This window comes from Homo sapiens, chromosome 15, assembly GCF_000001405.40.
Source record: "Homo sapiens chromosome 15, GRCh38.p14 Primary Assembly".
NCBI lineage: Eukaryota > Metazoa > Chordata > Mammalia > Primates > Hominidae > Homo > Homo sapiens.
In genome coordinates, this window is record NC_000015.10 from 37,073,352 (window position 1) to 37,090,919 (window position 17,568).

Consider the following 17,568-nt stretch of genomic DNA (forward strand, 5'->3'; position numbering starts at 1 on the left):
GTGTAAGAGTTACTTGCACATTTGTCATGGTACTCCCCCCACCACCACATACACACACAAACACACATCTTGGGAGAAGGTAAGCCGTTGAAGATAAGGACCCTTGTGATTTCCATATTTTTATTCCCAAGGTGCCTTGCTCAATGAATATCTTTGTGTATTAAATTTAAACAGCCTACACTAAGAAGAGGTCTTGAGAGAGTGAGAGCTCCCTGACTCCAGAGAGTGGTGTGCATCTACACATCAGCCCCAGTGTGTGACAACCTGTCAGAAAAGGACATCCATGAGGTAGAGTCCATAAGCTTCCAATAATCAATGATTTATCAACTTTTTTTCATCTTTCACATTTAGTACATGGAAATTTTGAAAGTTTTATTTTAGTGGATGGCATTTGTTACAAATGTTAGTTGGAAGAAGAGATATGAAATTTTACACTCCCAGTCTACTTTCGTAAATCTTCAAACTTATAAAAAAAGAATGATTGGTTTTGAGGCAAGAGTCATATCTCCAGCTGGAAGGGTTAAGGAATAAGTGTTTTGATTAAACAAATATTTCATTGACTAAGATAAGGTACTTATCTATATTTTATATGAATTTACAGTCTAAATAATTATAATTTGGCTAAATATATATGTAACTGTAAAATTCTCCTGAAAATTATTTAGGTTTTTTTCTGGAATGATTTGGAACATATTTCAGGAGTGGGTAGAATCTCAGCCTCTGTAATAATGATCGTTTATTGTTCCACTTGTGAAGTATAGAAAATTCCAACTGAGTGAGTTCTAATTAGATAATGGAGGATGGAGACGTTGCTCTGTGTTTTCAAAACACGCCTCATATTTTAGCAGATAGAACAGTCTATTGGTATTAATACTACCACCTTAGATGTCCTATATCTGAATTGTGGCATTCCACTATCCTCAGAAAATAAACTCTAATGCCTAGTCATATTTTTGCCAAACTGAGAAGAAAAAGGCTCTCCTGGCAACCAAAAACAAGAAACAGAAATATTACTTCACTGTGTATAATAAATCAAAAAAATTAAAAAGTTCATGTTATACCCCAGATGAAAAGCTTGTGGCCTCCCTTTATGTTAAAAGATAAAATGTACAAATAAAAATTAAGACCCATGAATGGAAACATTAGATTTCTGGAGCTTGGATTTAAAAGATCATCTAATTCAATCTTATTTTACAGGTGAGCAAAAGTCCAAAGAGATTAAAGGACACAGCCAAGGTCATATAGCTAATTAATGTCAGCATAGGACAAAGGGAAGAGAGAGAGTAATAAAGGAACCAACGGTTACTGGTTCCAGGCAATGTTATTTGCTGAACACATGGAATCTCTCTTAATATAAGTGAGATTATATTAAGCACTTCACTTTCCAGATGTAGTGACTGAATCTGGCAGATATTGAGTAAAACTGGGATTGGAACTCATGTCTCTCTGTCTTCTAGGTCTGTGCCCTTTTCAATGCAATCATGACTTTTGAGCATAGGTCTCGACTCATAGTTCAAGATTCTAGACAGTAACCCATGTAGATGAAAAAGAACTCACTACAAGGTTTTGCTTGCATCACCAAAAATAATTATATTTGCCCAAATGCAAACTATGAAAATCTGGAGGACATGTGTAGAAAATCGACAACAGGAGGTGGGGCCTAAAAATTCATGAAATACTTCCAGGCTCCTTTACCTGTGTGTGAAGACCCACCAATGACTTCCATGAGGTCAATCCTATCCTAAACAACACTTATTAGCAAAATGGATCCTGAGTCCATGAGAACTATTTGCCACACCAAGCAATTTTCCACTATTAGATATACCATTACATTTAAAGACATCCATCTATACATTTTGTATAGATAACATAATGAAATTGCATCTCCAAATTCTGACCATATGCACATAATATAAGACATTAAAGGACAAATAAGTCCCATTTTAAGTACTATCTTAAAGTAATACTTAAAATAGAAACCTAAAATTTAAGAACCTACCTACAACGAAATAATGCTAAGTTTGAGCTGATGGTCCATTGACATATTTAAGACAGTAATGAATACAACATAAGTTCAGTAAAACAAAATAATTTTTATCTCTTAAAGATGTAATGGAATTTGATGGAATATATCCATACGTTCCAAAGAGTTCATTTATGTTCAGGCACACATCAGTGAACCAATACACACCAAGTTTTGATCAACTTATACATCTTAAAAAAGGAAAAAAGAAAAATCTGTGGATTTTGTTTATTGCTTCAAAAATGGACATACTAATGCCAGATAATCGAAGAAGTGATAATCTGCACCTTGGAAAAGCAGGGAGAGAGAGAGAGACTAGGAATCAAATAATTACAACGCAGTGTGAAAGATGTTATAATAGAGGTAAAAAGTGCCATGGGAGTGCAGAGAAGGAGCCACGGCCTCATACCTGGGCAGATCAGGAAGGCTCACAGAGAAGATAATATCAGAACAGGATTTTCATCTGTACGAATTTCCAAGGCAGGCAGAAGAGAAGGACACACTCCCTCTAGGTCTCTTTCATTATTTTTTTTTTCGAGACCTTGTGTTCCAGCAAGCTGAGGAAACTTATTGCTGTATAGCAGGGATACTAAAGTGGTTCACTTTCATTTTAATGAGGAACTAGATTTCAGTGAAACCCCGTTGTTGCTTTTTTGCTGGTCCTCAGAAAGATAGTGAATAACTCAAGACTACCGAGGGATAAATTTGGTATATAAAAGTGGTGTATATTATTGTCTGCTGTGACATAAAATATTTTTAAAGGCCAAATTAAAAGCAAATTTCCACATGTGAAAATAAAAAGTGATTCTCCTACTACCCTCCTCCCCAGCAAAAAAGCAATAAGACTTTCAACAAACTCTCTGAGGGTAGAAATCGGAAAGAAAGAAGGGGAAAAAATAACATGGCGTCATCACAGACTATTCTTCTGAAGCAAAGTAAAGACAATGAAGGGAAAAATAGAACACGTGTATTACAATGTATAGCACCATAAGGCTGTGTTTGGTGCTCTGGAGGGCTTCAACAAGTACTGTTCAGCCAAAAATCAATTGAAAAATCAGCATGATAACAGAGCATGAGTTGCCCTATAATAGCCTTAAGACCCCCAAGGCTATGTGAGTCCCTTTCATCTGGCACACAGCACTGACTCTAGGGGACCCTCACTTCCCCTCCCTGAGTCCTGTGCCCATCTGTATTTCTTACCTACTGCTTTACTCTTCCTTAGAAAGCATGGCTGACAAGGAATGATGATGTTTTAAAGTGGTTTTTGAGAATTTTTTCTTTTCTGCTTTATTCTCTTCCTTGACATTTGCACTTAAATTTATCCTATAATATGAGTCATAGACTATTTCCACAATATTAAATGGTCAGCTGTAATCTCTGAGTCACCTAATGAGTTAATAGTCTTATGTTTTGCCTTAACTAAACTGCCCCTTAATAAAATCCCAGTTCAGGCTTATGCAAATGTGACATGTAAGCAATTCACAGCATTGTTATAAATATACATATATATTTCATTCCAAGATTTCATCTCAATATTTCTTCAATCACTTCCTCACAATGTCTGGTTTGTTCAATTTATATTTCTCCTTGGCATTTGGTGCAGACCCCCAAAGATAAGATACATCTGTCCCTTAGTCACAAATCTTGGCATTTTTACCTTAACTCAGTCGTGAAATGATTGGTTGAAAATTACCTTGCTTATTAGCAGGATTTCCTCATAATAAAACATTTTATTTCCAAACTTTCAAATTTGACACGAGATGTACTAACTCAGTAGTGACATATCAAAGCTCAAGGAGGACATATAAATACCCTGATCCGTGTGAGGAAAGGAGAAGCTAATTGGAAGTCAGCTTCCCTGTGATTATCAGCTTGTTTATGAGGAGGGAGGACTCTTCTGAATGGCACTGTAAACTCATCCCTGATTATGGCGTTAAAACCAGAGCTCATTTCTACAAGTTCCCCGAAAGCCCCCTACCCAATCCATTTTGTTTAGTTATAAAAGGGTTGTGCATTGCTTTCAGAGAATGACAGTTTTTCATGCTTTGATTTTCTCCAGTTTCAAGAAAAATTAATCAGTTGCACAAGCCAGTTGTCAGATTTCACTTCCCTCATGGCAGAAAGCACACATATTCATTGTCTGCTATAAGAATAAATTTTAGTAATTTTTCCCCATGTCAATATGAATATTAGACTGACCCAATTAATATGAAATGCTTCTATGGTGCTGGAACAGACAGTGCTACAGAAAGAGCCATTTGCACAACCTGTTCATGATTATGGGCCATAAGGACACAAAGATGGCACACACATTTGTGGACCATCTGAATTCTTATACCGAGAGGGGAGGGGGAAGGGGGCGCGGCATGACGTTAGCTTGACTGTCCTGGGTCATGTTTTTTAATCCAGAGTATTGGACATGTAACACAGCAACAAGAGCTGATCATTTTGTTTAATCACCTTTTGGATCTTTGCCAGATGGTCTCTATTGAGAGCGCTGCAAACAGAGAGAGATGAACTGCATCTAACACGCCACCAGAGCTTTCCCGTAAATGTCTGAGAACTGATTCCAACAAGAATTTAGTCTCAGAGCAGAAAGGGATACATTTAAAAACTATGTGCATTAACTATACTTTTCCCCATAGAATCCTCACTTGGCATGAATAATTTACCCACTCTTATGCTAATGGGATCATGAAAGTATCCCTCTGTCTTTAGTGCAGCTATTCTCAGCTTTCAGTAATTACCCCACCCAGTGAAAATAACATGGCTTCTGCATTGAACGGCTGACTCGTACCTGACAATTAGAAAGATCATGGCTGACAGTGGAAGAGTCTAGAACTGGACAGAGAAACCCTTGTAGCCCAAGGAAGAGCAGAGCCATAGAGTAACACTGGCCGTGAGTGGGAATGCATGCCGGTGAGAAGTGGCAAGAAGGGTAAAAAGAAAAATTCTCCACTGTCAAGCTTTTCTTTCTTTGACTTATTATCGAGATTTTACTTAAATAAAAATATGGTTCTCTTTCAATTACCAGATGTGAAAGACATTCATGACCAAATTAATTTTGAAAAAAAAAAAAAGCAATATCTAAGGAAAAAAACCATAGTTACCATTAAAGCACATCTCCATTAAATATCTATTTCACCAGAGTTTTAAAAAAATCTAAATAATGAAAAATCCTTTGCATTTTGCTTTTTGGAAGGAAAAAAGGATTGCCAGGAAAAAACAACCAAAAAAAAAAAAAAAAAAAAAAAAAAACACCAAAAAAGAAAACTCATTTTCTACCTCTGTCCACAAAACTCCATGTTAGGTAGTTCACTGTGTAAAAATTATCAGGCTAAAACATCTGGGAAAGAAAGCTATGAAACAGCAGGGAACGTGGCTGGTTTATTGTTTATCTTTTGTTTATGAGGCAGTATTCAAGTTTAATTACTACTCTAAATTAAACTCTAACTGGCATCAGGAGACATCCCTTTACATGACTCAGTTAAAAAAAAAATCTAGAAATCCCAAATCTGGGTTTCTCAAGTAAGTTGATACATATAGGAAGAAATTACTCAAAATTAACAGCAATTATAGAAACCTTTTAAGCATTTATGGGCACCATTACATGCTCCTAGAGCATTTATTTATTAGAAGAATTTAATTTTACTTCTAATGGTTACTACTCTAAAAAGTCTTGAGAAAAATCAACAGAAAATCTTTGGATGTTTGCTGATGGTTAAAGAATGGCATTATTTTAAATTTTATTTGGGGGGAGAAAAGAGAAAGAAAATGCAATGTAAATAGTCCATATACAACAGTTTATTCTATGGCAATGTTCAATTATCAATTATAGTCTCACAGAATTTTTTTGACACAATTAGGAGGACAGGAAGGAAAAAAAATGTCATTGTATTTATCATAACAGTAAGTGACCAGTTTTGGATGAACTTAGCTCTAGGAAAAATAAAAGTTAGAAGCAACTAGCAAAAGATTATGCCAGATGGCATCTGTCATATTGTATTTAGGGTTATTTTAAAGAGATTGCCGCCACTATGAAAACATTCCATTGACAGAGTTTTCCTAGACTGAATAAGAAATCCCAGTAGAACATATTCAGGACCCACAGTAAGTGGGTTTGAAGCCCCCTCCTCCTCTTTAAATATATAACTGGAATACTTTGGTGGGAAAAAAATACTATTTTATAACTATAACATGTATTATAAGCTCAAAAGTGCAATACTATCTTAGACATTTGCTTACCTATAAACACTTACATTCACTACTAAGGAGATATTTGTAGGTTTCAACACCATGATTGCTAAACAACTGTATAATACATAAATAAATATCTAGCTATGAGGAATTCTAGCCTCATCGCCTGGAAAATAGATGGGGACATCAACAGAGGGACGTGGTAGGTGGCAGAGTTAGGGAGAACTATGCTGGCTTGTACAGCCCTGTGTCCTGAAAGATTAGAGCAATATAGATTCTAGAATGCTAATGTATTTAGGTTAACTGGGTCTGGCAACAGTATGGTTAACGTGCGTGTGGTGTGCAGTGTGAGCTCAGCAGTTACTGGGCCAACTGTCTCGGTATTTCTGGGAATCCTGCCTATTCACAGTGCAGGGATTGTTCAATTGCTGCAAAATGTACAAAATGAATTTTACAAAAATGAATTGTAAGGAAGGCCCCATTACAACGATTTTACAGCAAAGATGTCAACATCAATTTTTCTTTCATGCATAGCTAATGATTAAAACAGCATATTCCATTTGCCTAAGACAATTTATTTCATATTGGCACATCAAAATATTGAAATACAAAGTTATCTTTACTCTACCCTTTTTATTCATTGCGGCTGAACCCATACCATTGTTCAAACCAGGAAAAATAAAACAAACTTGGCACGAAATACTTAAAACAAAGGCTCATCAATATTCTCCAATTTGTCAACATCTCAATTACAGCACTGGAAAAAATGTAAATTTCATGTGCTCTAAACACTGAGGGGTCTATTCTCTTGCCAATTCACATGCGTAACTCCCATCAGCGTTAATGGGAGCTACACAAACCCATCAATAATAATAATACTTTGTACATATATTGTGTCTTTCATCTAAGGCTCTCAAAGTGCTCTAGGAACAAGGGGCTGCTTCCTAGTCGTTACTCTGGCAAAATACACAGTGAAATACAAAGCAGCTTTTGACTCAGCAGGTACAGAATTAGGGATCTCTAGACTTATTATCAAACCCCATTTTACTGATGGGAAGCCAGACACAAAGAGGGCCAGTTACTTCCCCAGAGCCCCAAGTCTGCACCCTAATTCCATCCTTGAAAAACCAGATTTTCTTCCTCCGTCTAATGTGACTAACAAGACAAACTCCCTTCCTTTGGCTGCTTTTAGCAAGAGAAATCAGTGAATGAAAAGTCTGGTTCATATTTATATAGCTTACTGTTAGACATGTGCTCTTTGAAAGATAGTAAAGTCAGGTTTCACATTTTACCAAGTTTATTTCTTAAGATATTTTAAAAATGTGATATACATTTTTTCTCCTCCTTTTGGTTCATTGCTGAAACACTATGGAGGAAAAGATGAACTTTCACCTGTGTAACTGTAGCTGTTTCACTATCAGGTCATAAAACAAGGTATTTTTAGGTTCCAAAGTAAAGTTTCTATGAATCATTATAGTAAACATAATCACAAAAATTATAAAGCAACATAAATACATGTATTGTTTTATAGCATGTGGCTATTAAAGTTTAATTTAAAATGTGTATGAAAACATTGTATTTAGTACAATTCATCCCTATTTTTTGTGTTTATCATAATTTGTTTTGAAACTGAATCATTTTACAGTTTTCCATATGCCTGTTTTGCTAATAAATTCTGAATGCGAAAACTCTTTGCGAAACTACAAACTTGATTTCCAATGAAACATTATAATATATTTAATACTAAGGACATAAATTTCTCTCCCACGTTTTCCATTATACATCAACCCTAAGATTTAACCTAGGATAAGCATATGCGATTTCAGTCAATATCTCTGTTGACTTTGCCCTGAAGCAGATAATTAATCTTTCCCACTGAAACTACTCTGGACAATTCGGTGGGACAAAATATCAAAATACCTTGAAACCCTGTTTAAAAGACTAATATAGGCATGAGTATGACAACATACACTCAAGTCTGGCCTTCAAATTTTAAAGTCTGCTGTAAAAAGCCAGAATGCTCTTATATATGTGTTTTAATCACTGATGTGGTAAGCCAGGTAGGAAATTTTCTATGCCAAAATAGTCCCCATTTTATAGAAATCATACCTTTTTTTTCTTTCAAACTTCGATACAGTAAAATGACTGACTTCCTAGTACTCATACACATAAGCTACCATGTCCATTCTTTAATCCCGCAGAGACATGATTAAAGGAACAGAATCCTACAGGGATCAAATCCTTCAGCATTGGATAAGTGGGTGCATCTACCCACAGCACAGAAGTTTGTGTGATTGTTTTTACCTATATATCAGTCTCAGAATTCTTCTCTTTCCTAAAAAACAAAACTAACTAACCGAAACGCTAAAACTTTATGCTTTGCTCGTTATTACAAGTAATCCCCACTCCAAAACCTGGGTTCTTCTTTCTCCCACCTCCTCTTCTCTCTGGCCCTTTCTTGCTATCTCCCTTGCCATAACTCAACTAACCCAACAGAACCAGTCAGTTTTAAATTTCAGTTGGGACCTTGGTGACCTGTTAATGAATCTACAGAGAGGAGAAAAACTCACAGTGTTGAGTTATGCCTGGTGTTGCTAGCTGACTTGGAGTCAGAAATGCTTGAAGCGTTAACGTAATTGCAAGAATGTGAAAAATGAGGCGCTGGGCTCCTGAGCAAAGCGAAAGGTCAAAGTGAGCCTCACACACAAGAAGTCTCTGGAAGATAGCCTCATTAGACCATTAAGTCGGCTTCTCCTTTTCCCCTCTTTTATACAATGTTTAGAGTATTTTGTTTTTATTAATAGATACATTTCACCCTTTGTGTCGCCGCAATTTGGGGTGGTGGGAAGGATGGAGTCATAGAAAGCTTTCCAGATTTAACCATGCTGAGAAGTCCATCACTGTGACATGGAACCACAGTTAAGTCATTGCTTGCAGATCCATTGACCCTATGTACCAGTTACCTTGAAAATGCCTTATAATTTACTTATCTTTTATATAGAAACTAACTGGTAAAATAAAACAGTATATAAAACAGTATATATTATATAGGTGCAAGTTGCAAGTTCTTCCATAATTTGCCGTCTGATATGATTCATCGCTGTGTTAGTTTCAATTTGCTTAAACCTAGATTCTAATTTGGACCCATTCACAAATGAATGGCATCCTAGAAAGGACATTTTTCTAGACTCTTCTAGAACCTCAGAAATCCAAAATTCCTAGTCAGAAGCTTGGAGGACAAAAGGCACCCTACTTACATCAACACCCTCTTTTAAATGGCATATATAACTACAGCTCGAGCTGTTAAACTGTCCTCTACTTGGAAGCCTGTCTAAGACTTAAATATCGTGGCCATAAACACAGTCATAATAGAGATGAAATAGACCTAGGAGATCAGACACCATCTAATGTAAAATATTAAAAAGTAAAATCTATACACTTCCCTGGCCCACATTCAATAATGCATCTTCCTTTAAATTATCATTTTAGCCATAGATGAGTCATTCCTACCAATATATAATTGCTCTCTGTGCAATAGGTGAGTTTTAAATAGTAAAATTTATTCTAAATTGCACTAGGCTTCCTCAACATCTGCAGTTGATGTCCCCCTTGCCCTCTGATTATTCTAATTTTTAGGACTTGTGACAAAAGTCACCATGTCAGCTGAATGGAAATGGGGACAAATAATCCTCTAAGAATTTCAAAATCTACCTTCCCAAGATAAGATTCCATGTAAAATTCCACAATATTTCCAGAGCTAATAAGAACAGATTTTTAAATTTTATGTGCTTTAGAGGCATAATTGCTTGATTATAGAGAATGCTTATAGTTGATATTACAGGCAAAATATGCTATTTATAGCACAATTCAAGCTACTGCATCACAGCAGTAAAGCAGGCCTGTGATTCCACTTATACACACAGAAATAAAGTGTAGATAACCAAATTTGTAAAAGAATTGGCAGAACTAATCAATTGTTATTGTAATGCCTACTTAAAGATTAGACAGCTCACTTTGATTTCTTTTTTTAAGGAAAGTAAGTTAAGAAGAGGAAATACTGTCTCTTTAAATAGCAGCTGATTCTACTCCCTAACCTGCCACTCTCCTGTTTACATGGCGGCAGATGTACTGATATCATAAAATACTGAAGTTATTTTAGTCATGCCTACTTTGCACGAGGAAAATGTTTGACCTTTTACCTTGCTCACTGCTGTTGTCTCCGCTCTGGGAAGCATGGCCCCCACTGGAGGGCCCTGGGGTGCCTGCTGAGTGGGTTGAGGTTGCATCATCGTGGTCTCGCCAAGAAGAAGGGTTCTGATGTCAGGATACCAAGGAATTTTTCCACAGTTACCATTTCAGCCATCAATGAAGAACCAAAAGGAACGGCACAGAAAGAGACAAAAAAATGTATACATATTAGTATTTGTGGCAGTAGGCATATACGCATGCCATGTTATGGTGTGCTGTCTTTTTAGTAATAGGTATATAAAAGAAAAGATGTTCTAGAACTTGATGTGGTGATGGTTACACCAGTGTATATGTTGGTTAAAACTAATTTAAGTGTATACTTTAAATGGGTAAATTTTATTATATACAAATTTAAACCTAAACAAAGTTAATTTCTAAAGTAAAAAAAAATTATGAAAAATGTAAAAGTCATTTTTACTCTCGCTATCTTAATTAGGGTACATTCTACTAAGAAATAGGTCCCGATGCTCTTGGACACTCAATACTTCAGAACATTCACATCTGCAAAATTCAATGACTCCATTAAAAAAATTACAGGCTCCACAATGTATGGGACAGCCCTTGACATCTTTCAAATGCATTGCCCTAAAACAACCTATACAAACTCTCAAAATTATCAACTGATTGACTATATAACCAACAAAGGTAATGATATTAATCACTGTATCAATACCTAATAAATTATTGATTTTTGCTTTAATTTGTAGAAATAATTTAAAAAAAGGAAACATGTGTGAACTACTGTCCATCTAGTAAGCTAGAGAGGAGTTTCACTTGAGCTTCATGGAAGCTTGAAATTCACTGAGCAGTGCTTTTTCCTAGAAGAACTACTTGTTTCAAAGGACATGCAAGGCAAACCAAGAGTTATAGCTCATGCTACTTGGCTGAGTATATTCTTCTTCTGTTCCTCCTCCCTTTTCCTGATCATTCCCAATGCCCTGCTGTTGCTTAAAGGAAAACAGGAATTCTAATGTACAGGAAGGACTTTATCAGCACCACATGAAGGCAGGCAAGAGATGGAATTTCCTCTGGCAGAAACGGAGAGGAGGAACAGCATACGAAACAGTCCAGCCTTAAAGCCAGAGCTGTACACTTGTCACCTGCATATGACGACTTCAATTAAGCCCACAGACCTACTGGCAAGTGAATGATTTGGGGGCCAGAGGAAGGGGCAAAATAGTTCCTCAAAACCAATCAAAGTATACAAAGTATATACCAATCTAAGTATATACTGAAGTATACAAGGTATACACCAATCAAAGTATACAAATTTTACAAAGTATACACCAATCGAAGTATACAAATTATACACCAATCAAAGTATACAAAGTATATCACTAAAAAAACCAATCAAAATATACAAAGTATATCACTAAAAAAACCAATCAAAGTATACACTGTTTCTTACTAGAATTGGTAAATAAGAATTCAGACAGAGCCACGTGGGTATAGGCAACAAATAAACCTCTTGACCAAGGGAAAGTAATCTTGCCATGTTGCCATTATGTATAGTTCATCAAGAAAAGAAGTCAGTCTGTCATTTTTCTCAGCATCAACTCTACAGTGTACATATAGCATGGATGATGTTACCAAAATAAAACAAGAAACCAAGGTGAGAAAAAAATAGGGAAATGTTCTTATTTGGAACTACAAAACTTATTTTTCCCCCTACAGATCTGCAGCAAACTGACTGTGAATTAATATTTGGCATTTTTGATAGATTATGAAATAATAATCCAGAGCTCTATGGATTAATAACATCTATATAAAATAATGATACTGGCACTGCTATCAGGCAAGCAATTGATTCAAAGTGAAAACCCTGAGCAGAAATTTTGTGACTACAAATATGGCACAGGTATAGATCTCTAAAATAAGGATATGTTTGAGAAAGTAGATTAGGGAATGAAATTGAGTAGAATAAAATAAAAGTCAAGGTTTTCTGCTGCCTGTAGAAAGACAAAGTCATGCCTGTGAGCTCTCTTTTTAATCTAAGTTAGAAACCACTCCAATAGTTTCAAGCAAAAGGCAAACAGAATACAGGGGCTCCTCAAGCTTTGAAGCCTCTTCGTGTCAGCTGTTTGCCGGGCGGTAATGAGATAAAGAGCTAGAAGAATTACATGGAAAAAAAAAGAAAGAAAAGAAAAAGAAGCAATAGCATGGTGTGAGTTTAGTCCTGCGACAACACAGGCTAGAGGCTTCTTTTAGAAAATGCAATAGCTGCAACATATTCACCTAAGCTAAACTTTTCATTGTACACAGCAATGATGTTAATTTTATGCACTGCAGGCTTTTTATTAAGCTGGCTGCTATAAAAGCTCCTTACCCCTCATGAAAATTATAATAATTAACCACTAACACCTCAACTATGTTTTAAGGCAAATGTCATCCAATAGCTATTATATAATCGTTTATATGAAGCCGGAGCAAGTCTTTCTGTTTAGGTGCTGCATTGATTTGAAGGGATCACTCAGAAGGACTTCCTGTAACTGAAAACACTGGTTTGTCCCTATCAGCTAAACTGGTGCTGAGTTTTCAAGTTAGGCCTCATTCGTTTATAATTCAGTGTATTTCTTTCAATGGTATCTGAAGGAGATGTTTTCTAAAGTAAAGGGGTGAAAAATAAGCCACAGAAGCAAATATTACTTTTAAGAGCAGCTGGTTCTTCCAAATAAATTGGGTCTTTGGTTTTCTGCCCATTCCCAAAATATGCTTAAGTTCACTCTTTAACCTACCATTCCCTTATCTCTTCCCTCTTTTCTTTCTCACTCTTTAAAAATGCTCTCCTGAAAAAGTGTCATGTTTATTTCCCATAGAGTGTCTCAAGTATTATGGTCTTGTTTGAGAGACTGAACACCAACTAAGGACTATCACACGATAGTCATCTGATTTGAAAGAAGGAAGAACAGATAAATCCCTCTGGGGTTTCAAGGCTGAGGAGTTACCACAAGTTGTTTGTATTGAGCTACACAAGGTGGTGATGTGATCATATACAAATACAAATGTTGATAATCTGGTCAACAAAAAATTGTTCCTCCTTGGTCATAAAAAACTGTCACTGACATGGATGGACAAAACCTATTACTTTTAACAATTTGTTTTCCCTGAGATTAAAATATTTGTTTATATCACAACTCCTTTCTTCTATTCTTCCCCTTAGAGTTTACAAGTTTCCATCCTTCAAGAAAAATGGCATGGCTTTCTGCCAAATTATATGCAGAAGTTTAGTGAATCCTGAAACCAAAGTGACATACAAAAGCATGTAAAAACACATGATGCAAGTAGAAAAATAAAGAGAAACGCTCGCCGGGTGCCCGTGTATGACTGAGCATTCAGGTATATGCATGCCACAATATATGTCCTGTTCTCCAGCCAAAAAAATCATGAAGACACCCGAGGGCAAGGAGTGAACATGTTTCTATTCCCAGTGGCTTTGGTAATTGGGAGTCAAATATGGTACTCTTCTTGCTCTTACGTAATTGTGTTACAGAGCAGTGTTACCAGGAGAAAAGCAGTGAATACTGAGTGGAGCACAATAGAAGGAGATGGAAAATAGATACAAGAAGCTAGGTCTCTAGGGGCAGTATTTTCTATTTGCTGGGCTACAGACTCACAGCTGATAATGCAAGTTGTAATTAATATAAAAGCAGGAGACAATATGGGCAGAGCTTGTAGTAGTGGGGCCACAGGAGAGCGCTCTGCTGCTCTACTCTGTTTCTCATTTACACACAGCTTTCCCTAGAAAACACAATTGTGCCAGTGTTTTCTCCCTTGAAAGTTAAAAAAAAAAATTGATTTAGCACTATCATTGAATTTTGCTAAATCTAGAAAAGAGCATAGAGAGGACAGGAGTCTCTGGGCATAGGAAGCAAATCATATGTGTGCCTCTCTTGTTGAAGTTGCAGATACACTGGAATTGTAACATTTTAAACCATTATGGCATTTCCATGAGGGACCTACCTATAAGAGAATACTTAATAAGTCTCGGTGAATTGGTGTTATTTCCCTATTTAAATGATTCCACATGGCACATGGTTCTTCCATGGGGCCAGTGGGGTGAAATGTATAAAGTGTTTGTAAATAAATACAAAACTGAATGGAGAAGTAAAATGTATGAGGCTTCAAGGAGAAAAGCAAAGGCCATGCCACATACAAGTTCTATCTAAAATAATCTGAAACTCATTTTAGATCCCAAATGAAAAGGCAATGCAGTGGACATGGTATAGGAAAGAAAACATTAGATTGGAATTAAGATGCTGGCATGCCACCTCTCACCAGTCAGGTGAACTTAAGCAAGTGATGTACCTCATTTCTATGGGGCTCATTTCCTTTATCTCTTTAAAATTAAGAAGTTAGACCAGATAACTTCTAGAACCTACACAACTATATAACATCAAGAGAAAAATTACATGTAAACTTGGAAAATAGAATAAAGTAACTCAGGGTATGTGCTCATAGGTAGAGAGTAATAGTAAACATACATAAAGATATTTTAATCAGTAAATGAAGCATGTACAACTAATTTGACTCAATATATTTAAACAACAAAGGGAAGATATACTTGTATCAACATACATAATTAAATTACTTATTTCCCATAACTTTATAATGTTTTAACTCCTAATTAACATTATGCAAAAAATATTTTTAAAAATAAAACAAGGACTCCTATCTTGGGGTACTGAAGTCTACAAAAGTTAAAAATGTTAATTGTGTGGTTTGAACAAATGTTGGAATTTCAACTCCGGTGTTGTAAAGTTGACATAAGAAGTCAGGAGACCTATGTGTGCTTTCAGAACCTGGACTCACTCTTTAAAAATGTAAATAAAGCTGGGGTCCTTCCCTCACCTCCCCACTTCTACCTCTCTATTAAGCTTTGGGATTAATATGTAAGCAACTCTCACAGAAGTGGCAAGCACCCTTTGCAAATGATTTCTCCATTTAGTCGAGCAACTTTTAGAGAAGACAGAAATGTCTTGTATTGTTGGTGTAATGCCATATTATAAAATGCCTCTTAAAACTTTGAATTGTGTTGGGATATTCCATAGAACATTTAGTATTAAAAAAAGAAAATGAATTAAAGAATGCCAATTTTCAAAAAATCTGATAGGGAATGTCTATGTGGTTGTCAATTACAACCTTTGTTTAATTTCATCTCATCACAGTTACACTGAAAACATACTCCAACTGCACAGTCTAAATGATTTAAATAGTATAATTATTCTTAATGGGGAATTAAGAAAGCTAACAACCACCAGAAACCACGCAGCAGCAACACAACAGAAAATCCACGCACCCAGCCATGCTTCCTTGAGTTGGTGGACAGAGCTCAGAAGTAGAACTTTATCGGAATAGGCCCCAGAGGCTTTGAATAGCATACCATAAGGTCTCACCTTACACTAAAACATAAGAAACTAGCAAATAAAATAAAGCATTCATATTATTATCCAATTTCATTATTTCCCCCTTGATATTCTATAGAACAACCACTTGAACCTATCCCACCCCTCACTGTCACTTCCCTCTAATTTTTCAGGTAGTAATTGAATTTATCTAGAGTCACTTGCCCATATTCTATCAGAAATAAGATTCTGGAGAGTCTCCTCTCTGACCTAACCCATTTGAAAAAACAAACAAACAAACAAACTGTGTCAACATAAACTTGATATATTCAGAGATGCAAAAGAAAACACCAGAATATCTTCATTTAAATTACAGCTTTCAACATATAAATATACAATAAGTTTTCTTTTCTTAGTGGTGTTAGTAGATCCAGGCAATTTTAAGGTATCTGCTATTAACTGTTAACAGACATAATTGTATTTTCTTTCCTCTACTGAATTCTTTCAAATAAAATAAAAATGTAGCTCTTTATGACCACTAACTAGGAATAACAATATAATTGTATAACTGTATTTGCTTCAAGAAAATAGAGCTTAGCTCAGAGAATATACTTCAAGCAAGTAGATTTCATTTGTCTGAACTTTACATGTAATATCTTTACATGTAATATCTTTACATGTAAATGTGAGGATGTATTTTCTTTGTCTGTACTAGGTCTAAATATCTGATCTAAAATTGTGTAAAATAGATAATGTGAGTATCACCTGTTATTCAGGAACTCCACATGCTAGAAAAAGCTGGTCATTTCACAGCAGTTTTCAAGTTGAAACTTCTTTAAAAATTGTTTTTTAGACATATTTATTTTAAACATGATAAATTTGAATGTCTAGGAAACTAACATGAACTGCAGCTGGAAAACAGAGTTCTATTTCCTTCGACTATTATATATTTTTTTCTCCCCAATATTCCAAAAATATTGTAATAGCTCTTTCCTACCTATAAATATTATTATTATGTTATAGTAAAAGACAAAATACATTATAATATTAAAAACATAAGCATGCATTATAAATTTACTAAATACAACGAAATTGTAATCAATATTGCTTATTTTATTTTCTATTTAATTCCAAACTTCCTCTTTCCATTACACCCATCATATGTAAGTGTTAATAATAAATGAATAAACTCAGTAACCTCACTGAATGTAAGGAATGGAAAGCAAGAATATTATGGTTGTCTTCTTCTAATGCATCTGTTATATCAAATTATTTATATAACTTTATGAAATGTGAACAGGATTTACTAATAATATATAAAACTTATTCTTAAGTCTGCCAATATACTTGCTTTGAAGATATTTATATTTATTACTTTTATTTATTTACATTTTCAAATTCTTTTAAAGAATACTGAAACTATATTGGTACCTAATATTTTGCTTCTGATGCATTTCTCTCTGCTTTTCTCTCTCTCCTTGCATGTTCCTTCCTTAAACATGCACACACACGAGTATGCACACACACACACAATGAAGCTGGATACCACTTAATAAGAGTAGAGGTGTATGTGTTTTGGGGGTGTCAAACAGCTGTCACAAACTGTCACCTCCACAAGAGAAACCTTGGCATACAACAAATTAAACTACACTTCTTTTTTAGCTGTCATTATTCATAGCCAATAAGTTGAAATGCTCTCAGCATTTCATGTGCAAATAAAACCAAGAGGAAGCTCAGATCAGAATAGTGGGCCAACAG

At 35.4% G+C, this 17,568-nt stretch overlaps 1 protein-coding gene across 9 annotated transcripts in view; it reads right to left on the bottom strand.

The window, feature by feature from the left end:
* MEIS2 (Meis homeobox 2) overlaps positions 1–17,568 on the bottom strand; it is a 212,108-nt gene that overhangs the window by 184,148 nt on the left and 10,392 nt on the right. For all 9 annotated transcript variants that reach the window (NR_051953.2, NM_002399.4, NM_001220482.2 and 6 more), the window contains one exon: positions 10,420–10,534. Coding sequence is in view for 8 of the 9 variants with exons in the window: in NM_002399.4 (NP_002390.1) it covers positions 10,420–10,534 (115 nt within the window). In the remaining variant the exon portion in view is untranslated. The remainder of the gene's footprint in view (positions 1–10,419; positions 10,535–17,568) is intronic.